This window comes from Homo sapiens, chromosome 17, assembly GCF_000001405.40.
Source record: "Homo sapiens chromosome 17, GRCh38.p14 Primary Assembly".
NCBI lineage: Eukaryota > Metazoa > Chordata > Mammalia > Primates > Hominidae > Homo > Homo sapiens.
Genome location: NC_000017.11, coordinates 7,074,263 through 7,081,516, shown reverse-complemented (window position 1 = coordinate 7,081,516; position 7,254 = coordinate 7,074,263). Strand labels below are relative to the sequence as shown.

The 7,254-nt window shown below is 51.6% G+C and overlaps 1 protein-coding gene across 5 annotated transcripts; it reads left to right on the top strand.

Moving 5' to 3' along the window:
* On the top strand, window positions 1,266-6,980 carry CLEC10A (C-type lectin domain containing 10A). Of its 5 annotated transcripts, none has more exons than NM_001330070.2 (9): window positions 1,266-1,465; window positions 2,632-2,771; window positions 3,404-3,520; window positions 4,530-4,625; window positions 4,713-4,784; window positions 5,446-5,532; window positions 5,632-5,786; window positions 6,051-6,157; window positions 6,295-6,980. In NM_001330070.2, the coding sequence occupies exons 2-9, from the start codon at window positions 2,705-2,707 to the stop codon at window positions 6,461-6,463; spliced, it is 870 nt and encodes a 289-aa protein (NP_001316999.1). In that variant the 5' UTR covers window positions 1,266-1,465; window positions 2,632-2,704; the 3' UTR covers window positions 6,464-6,980. The 5 variants fall into 5 exon arrangements, with proteins under 5 accessions (NP_001316999.1, NP_006335.2, NP_878910.1 ...); NM_006344.4 differs by having other exon boundaries at window positions 5,446-5,541; NM_182906.4 differs by having other exon boundaries at window positions 5,365-5,532.

The following is a 7,254-nucleotide window of genomic DNA, read 5'->3' as shown; positions in this document are numbered from 1 at the left end:
GCCTGTAATCCCTGCACTTTGGGAGGCTGAGGCGGGCAGATCATGTGAGGTCAGGAGGTCAAGACCAGCCTGGCCAATATGGTGAAACCCCTCTCTACTAAAAATACAAGAATTAGCTGGGTGTGGTGGCGGGACCTGTAATCTCGGCTACTCGGGAGGCTGAGGCAGGAGAATCGCTTAAACCCAGGAGATGCAGTAGCCGAGATTGTGTCACTGCACTCCAGCCTGGGCAACAGAGTGAGACTCTGTCTCAAAAAAATAAATAAATAAATAAAATAAAAAAGAAAAGAAAAAGAAACAACTTAAATTTCTGATTTATTTCTGTCAATAGAGAAATGCTAAATAAATAAATTACGGTGCCTATGATGAAATGAGGTGCAGGTAGATCAAGTACATTTTATAAACTGATGTGGAGAAATGTTCCTGATAGCTTGTTAACTCCAAAAAAAAAAAAAAAAAGCACATAGCAGAACACAACCCCATGTACATACAAAATATAACCTAAAATGTATTTCTTCTCCTTCTCCACCTTGTAAGATACTCAGTTTCCTTCCTACTGAAAGGGATGTGCGCGTGGATTCAGGGCAGCTCCCTTAGGGGTTGAGCAGGGATCATGGGATGAAATGGAATCCTGTTCATGAAGACAGCGCCTGTGCTGAGAGCCAGAGCAGGGTGCCAAACTGTCTCCTTACAAGCTGTGAGTGATCTTGGGCTCTGAGCCTTTAGTCCGTCATCCAAAATGCCTCCCCAGGTGCTTGGGGGGAATGGTTGTGGAAGGTAAATGTCTGGCATAATCCTATCACAGATTACTCAATAAAATTTGCTCTTTTCCTTGGCTTCTCCCGTCCTATTAGGGCCAAGAAGTTCTATTCTCTGGCACCCCCTTCCCTCCTTCCGAGTGGAGTGAGGCGAGCGAGGCCACAGCTGAGCAGCCGAATGACTGGGACCCAGAGGATGCTGATGCCAGGGACTCAGGCCAGGATTGAGCAAGAGAACAGACTGGGCTTCTCTAGGATCAGAGGTGCGATGATGGAGACCCAACAATTCTGGGAAATGTAGAGGCAGGAAGTGAAAGGAAGTGTAGGGTAGAGGAGCAACAGCAGATTGTACCTCTGATCCAGCCCTGCTCCCAGATGGTAAAAATGAGGAAGCTCCGAGAAGAGGAAAGGAAGTAGGCATGGCCTGGAGGAGGAGAACAGAGCTGGCCTCAAACCCAACTCTCCCCACCCACACATGGTCTCTGTGTGTTCTAATCCCTGTTCATTCTCATTTACTGTCTAAAGTTGAGGAGATGGGATGTCCCAGATGATAGGGCTCCTGGGATTTCAGACCCAAGACCAGCAGGACTCCAGTCACCTCTACCCCAGCTCTCCAGGACACAGCGCTCCCAACTCTGAGTGACGTCCCACCTCTGGTCCTTGCAGCACAACCAACGTGGGAATCACACCCTCCAGACCTCCCACAGGTAATGGTGCTGCCGGTGCCGGTGAGACCCAGGGGACAGGGGATGTCAGAGGAAGCAGGGAGAGGGGGACTTTGGGTCTTGGGTGGGACTAAATGAAAATAAATATAAGGCGGCAGTGTGGGGTTTAATTACTACGTGGAGATTTGAGACTCTGTTCCCTTCACTGGATTCTAGATTGGGTTACGGCAGCCACAATCCCCTGTCATAAACTAAGACTCCGGGAGCTGAGGCAGGAGAATCTTGTGAACCCAGGAGGCAGAGGTTGCAGTGAGCCGAGACGGCCTCGTTGCACAACAGCCTGGGCGACAAGAACGAAATTCCATCTCAAAAAATAAATAAATAAAAATAAAAATAAACTAAGACTCAGACTCAGCCTCATTGGTGGCCCATTTCCAGCCTTATCTTCATCTCAGCCCAGCCATGCCCTAATCCCAATACTAACCCCAGCTTCTACATTTTCTTTTTTTTTGAGACTGAGTCTCACTGTGTCGTCCAGGCTGGAGTGCAACGGCACAACCTCGGCTCACTGCCACCTCTGCCTCCTGGGTTCAAGTGATTCTCCTGCCTCAGCCTCCCAAGTAGCTGGGATTACAGGCGCACACCACCACACCCAGCTAATTTTTGTATTTTTAGTAGAGATGGGGTTTCACCATGTTGGCCAGGCCGGTCTCAAACTCCTGACCTAAAGTGATCTGTCTGCTTCGGTCTCCCAAAGTGCTGGGATTTATAGGCGTGAGCCACCGCACCTGTCGCCCCCCACCCAGCTCCTACTTCAACCCCAACCCCAGAATCAACTTGAATTTTAACACCAGCCCAAAGCCAAAATTGAACCTCGACTCTATTCTGTTTCCAAATTCACCACCAAAGTTAACCCCAATTCCATCCATGGCTCCAACGTGCATACTGACCCCAATCCTAGCATGAGATACAACCTCCAGTCCTGCCTGATTAACTGGCCCACTGGGTAGTCCTAGCAATGCGTTTAGCTCCAACGTTACCCTCCAGTTTCACTCCCAAACTCAACTCGACCCCAATTCTAACTCGACTGCAAACCCAGGCTCATTTCCGTCTTAACCCTGGGCTCATTCTCAACCTGAGCCTCATCTCCCAACTCAACGTCAGCCCTGCCCTTGGCTCCAACTTAGTCCCAACCTCCTATTCCCCAGCTCCACCCCAGACTGGGCGCCGGCCCTGCCTCCATTTCAGCTGTGACAACCTCAGAGCCGTGTTGGCCCAAGCATGACAAGGACGTATGAAAACTTCCAGTACTTGGAGAATAAGGTGAAAGTCCAGGGGTTTAAAAATGGTAAGAGGAAAGGGGAAACTCTCCTAAAATGCCCTCTTTATATGTTTAGAAGGATTTCTCCTATCATTTCTGTACCTCCACCACGCGCACTGGTGGGTCCTAACTCTGAGGAGGTCAGGCCCCAGCCTCTGACGGGCCTAGTGTGAAGAGGATGCAAGGTCTCTAGAAAGACTGGGACAGGGAGGATCACAGTGGACCCAGCTTCTGATGCTCTGTGGGGTGGGGATGAGAGCTGCGCATTGGTGGAGGGAAAGATAAGTAGTTGGGTTTGGAAGGAAACTCATTTGTGAACCTGATTGTCCAGCAGGTAGGTGAGCATAAGCCCATGAAGGGCTGGCTGCCCCCAGCTCTCCCTGTGTCCTCCTGCCCCTGCCCCCAGCTCTGACCATGGGACCCCTCATATCGCTATCACGTGGGTCCCCAGGGGTGTGAGGGGCCTGTGTGACTGAGGACTTGTGCTGGTCCCTGAAGTCAAAGGCCTGGGCATCCCCCACCCCAAAATCCTCCTTGTCCAACCCTCCCCTGGAGTCCCCTGTGCCCAGCCCTCCTCACTAGACAGCTCCCTGGGCCCTCTCCTTCTCCCGTCTCCGGTGTCTGGACCCTCCTCATCCTGACACTCTCTCCTCTTGCAGGGCCACTTCCTCTCCAGTCCCTCCTGCAGCGTCTCTGCTCTGGGCCCTGCCATCTCCTGCTGTCCCTGGGCCTCGGCCTCCTGCTGCTGGTCATCATCTGTGTGGTTGGATTCCAAAGTGAGGGTCACAGGGGTGGACAGGGAAGAGAGAAATAATGGGGTAGAAGATAAATAATGGGGTGCTACAGTAGGGCAGTGGTGGGGCGATGGTGAGGTCCACAGTAGGAGCAATGCAGGGCACAGTGTTGGGGGCAGCTGTGGAGATAACAATGGGGCATGGTGAGGGCAGTGCTACCAACAGTCATGGGGGTCACAACAGAGCCACTGAAGCACTGATGGGGCACTGATGGAGTGATTGATGGGAATGGAGGAGAGGGCACTGATGGAGTGATTGATGGTAACGGTAGGGGGGCACTGATGGAGTGATTGATGGGGACGGTGGTGGGGGCACAGACGGAGTGATTTATGGGAATGGTGGGGGGCATTGATGGAGTGATTGATGGGAATGGTTGGGGGTCACTGATGGAGTCATTGATGGGAATGGTGGGGGGGCACTGATGGAGTGATTGATAGGAACGGTGGGGGGTCACTGATGGGGTGATTGATGGGAATGGTGGTGGGGGTCACTGATGGAGTGATTGTTGGGAATGGTGGGGGGCACTGATGCAGTGATCGATGGGAATGGTGATGGGAGCACTGATGGGGTGACTGATGGGAATAGTGGGGGGCACTGATGGAGTGATTGATGAGAACAGTGGTCGGAGCACTGATGGAGTGATTGATGGGAATGGTGATGGGGGCACTGATGGAGTGATTGATGGGAATGGTGGGGGGGCACTGATGGAGTGATTGATGGGGACGGTGGTGGGGGTAGTGATGGAGAGAGTTGACGGACCCATAGTCAGGATGGCTGCTGGCTTTGTCACTGAGTAGTTGGGTTATGTACTCAAATTACTTCACCTCTCTGAGGCTTAGTTTCCTCATCGGCAATATTGAACAATAATAGTGCCTGCCCCACTGGGTTGCCGTGAGGACCCAATAAGGCAATGCTTATGGAGGGCCCTGCTCGGTGCTGGTACAGAGGACCTGATGAATCCCAGCACTGACCTTCCCATCCACCTGTTTAGATTCCAAATTTCAGAGGGACCTGGTGACCCTGAGAACAGATTTTAGCAACTTCACCTCAAACACTGTGGCGGAGATCCAGGCACTGACTTCCCAGGGTGAGTCTGGTTTGGATGGGGCTCTGGGCTGGGGCCAGGCCAGGGAGGAGGAAGTTGACCCCTAAGCCAAGTCTCCGTGTCCTCCAGGCAGCAGCTTGGAAGAAACGATAGCATCTCTGAAAGCTGAGGTGGAGGGTTTCAAGCAGGAACGGCAGGCAGGTGAGAGACCCTCCGAGTATGGGTGTGGGGGGCTAGGCGCTCAGACACAGTGGAGGTGGGAACAGACTCCTGGTGCTGAACTGCCCTCCCCTTCAGCCAGCAGCTTGAAAGGCAGCATGCAGGCCGGGCGCAGTGGTTCACGCCTGTAATCCCAGCAGTTTGGGAGGCCGAGGCGGGTGGATCACGAGGTCAGGAGTTCGAGAGCAGCCTGATCGACATGGTGAAACCCCGTCTCTACTAAAAAAAATACAAAAAATAGCTGGGTGTGGTGGTGGGCGCCTGTAATCTCAGCTACTAGGGAGGCTGAGGCAGGAGAATTGCTTGAACACGGGAGGCGGAGGTAGCCGTGAGCCGAGATCGCGCCATTGCACTCCAGCCTGGGCAGCAAGAGTGAAACTCCGTCTCAAAAAAAAAAAAAAAAAAAAGAAAGAAAGAAAGAAAGGCAGCATGCTTTCTCTGGAGAGCAGGCTGGAGAAACAGGGGCAGAGGAATCCAAAGCAGATTTGATGGCTGTACCTGGCCATGATGTAGGGGGTGGGTGGGGGCGGGAAGGAACATTCCCTGGCTTGGCCCTGTGCAGGGGTATCTGAGCTCCAGGAACACACTACGCAGAAGGCACACCTAGGCCACTGTCCCCACTGCCCATCTGTGTGTGTCCCAGTTCATTCTGAAATGCTCCTGCGAGTCCAGCAGCTGGTGCAAGACCTGAAGAAACTGACCTGCCAGGTGGCTACTCTCAACAACAATGGTGAGGAAGGTATGGGGAGTACCTGGCCCTACTTTTCTGCCCATGGCCCACTGGGCAGAGCCTCAGCCTCTCCACCCTATCCTATTTCTCCCCAATCAGCCTCCACTGAAGGGACCTGCTGCCCTGTCAACTGGGTGGAGCACCAAGACAGCTGCTACTGGTTCTCTCACTCTGGGATGTCCTGGGCCGAGGCTGAGAAGTACTGCCAGCTGAAGAACGCCCACCTGGTGGTCATCAACTCCAGGGAGGAGCAGGTGAGGGCTTCTGGTACTCAGTTCCTAAGACATGTCCCATTTAGGGAAATGGTTCTTAAGCTTGGCCGCACATTGGAATCATCTGGGAGCTTCCAGAATGACTGTCATCTGTGCCACACCCTCAGAGATTTAATAGGCCTGAGCATCCAGAGAAACATCTCCAAACTCCTCAGTTGATTTAACGAAGAGCTAAAGTTGAGAATCACTAGTTTAAGGAGTTGGCTGGGATGGGAAGAAGTCACCACTGCCCTTCTGTCACCGCAGAATTTTGTCCAGAAATATCTAGGCTCCGCATACACCTGGATGGGCCTCAGTGACCCTGAAGGAGCCTGGAAGTGGGTGGATGGAACAGACTATGCGACCGGCTTCCAGTGAGTGCACCCTGGCTTTCTGTGCCAATGTCCTCCGTCAGCGTTTCCCCCAGGGATCTGACTGGCAGCCTCTCCTCCCCTGAACTGAATTCTACTCCATCTACCCTTCCTAGCTTGCTGTTGTCTTTTCCTCTCAGGAACTGGAAGCCAGGCCAGCCAGACGACTGGCAGGGGCACGGGCTGGGTGGAGGCGAGGACTGTGCTCACTTCCATCCAGACGGCAGGTGGAATGACGACGTCTGCCAGAGGCCCTACCACTGGGTCTGCGAGGCTGGCCTGGGTCAGACCAGCCAGGAGAGTCACTGAGCTGCCTTTGGTGGGACCACCCGGCCACAGAAATGGCGGTGGGAGGAGGACTCTTCTCACGACCTCCTCGCAAGACCGCTCTGGGAGAGAAATAAGCACTGGGAGATTGGAAGCACTGCTAACATTTTGAATTTTTTTCTCTTTAATTTTAAAAAGATGGTATAGTGTTCTTAAGCTTTTATTTTTTTTCCAACTTTTGAAAGTCAACTTCATGAAGGTATAATTTTTACATAATAAAAATGCACTCATTTAAAGAGTAGAGATGACTTTGACAAATATGCATGCCTAGGTGACTACCACTCCGATCGCAATAGATAACATTGCCATCGCCCCCACCAGTCCCCTCATGCCTCTGGGCAGTCCAACCACTTCCCTGTTTCCAGGCCAGTGATCTACTTCTTTTTCACTATTTATTGGCCTTGCCTCTTCTAGAGCTTCTAGAACTTCATATAAGTGAAATCATACACTCTCGTGTATATACTTCATATAAGTGAATATATACTCTCGTGAGAACTTACGTACTTTGTGTTGCTTGATTTTTGGCAATCTAAAAATGGCAGAGTGGAGAAGCCAGGTGAAGCCTTCGAAAGTCCTATGTGATTGAGAAAATAGCATTTTCTTCTCATATAGATTTGAGTTCAAATCTTTTCTGTCACTTAAAGATGGTATAAACTTAGGGTGATTAGGAAAAGCCATTGTTTAATTTCTCTGAAGATCCCAGAGTTGTTGGGAGATGTAGATAAGATCCCCAGGTGTATTGGTTAGCAATTGGTGTGTAACAAACCACCTCA

What these genes read in the sequence shown, in the direction of transcription:
- CLEC10A (XM_011523613.2), top strand. Translation starts at nt 2,705, where the DNA reads ATGACAAGGACGTATGAAAACTTCCAGTACTTGGAGAATAAGGTGAAA. An exon ending in CAACAACAATGGTGAGGAAG is followed by an intron (nt 5,542 to 5,631) that starts GTATGGGGAGTA and finishes CTCCCCAATCAG; the next exon opens with CCTCCACTGAAGGGACCTGC. An exon ending in TCAACTCCAGGGAGGAGCAG is followed by an intron (nt 5,787 to 6,050) that starts GTGAGGGCTTCT and finishes CTGTCACCGCAG; the next exon opens with AATTTTGTCCAGAAATATCT.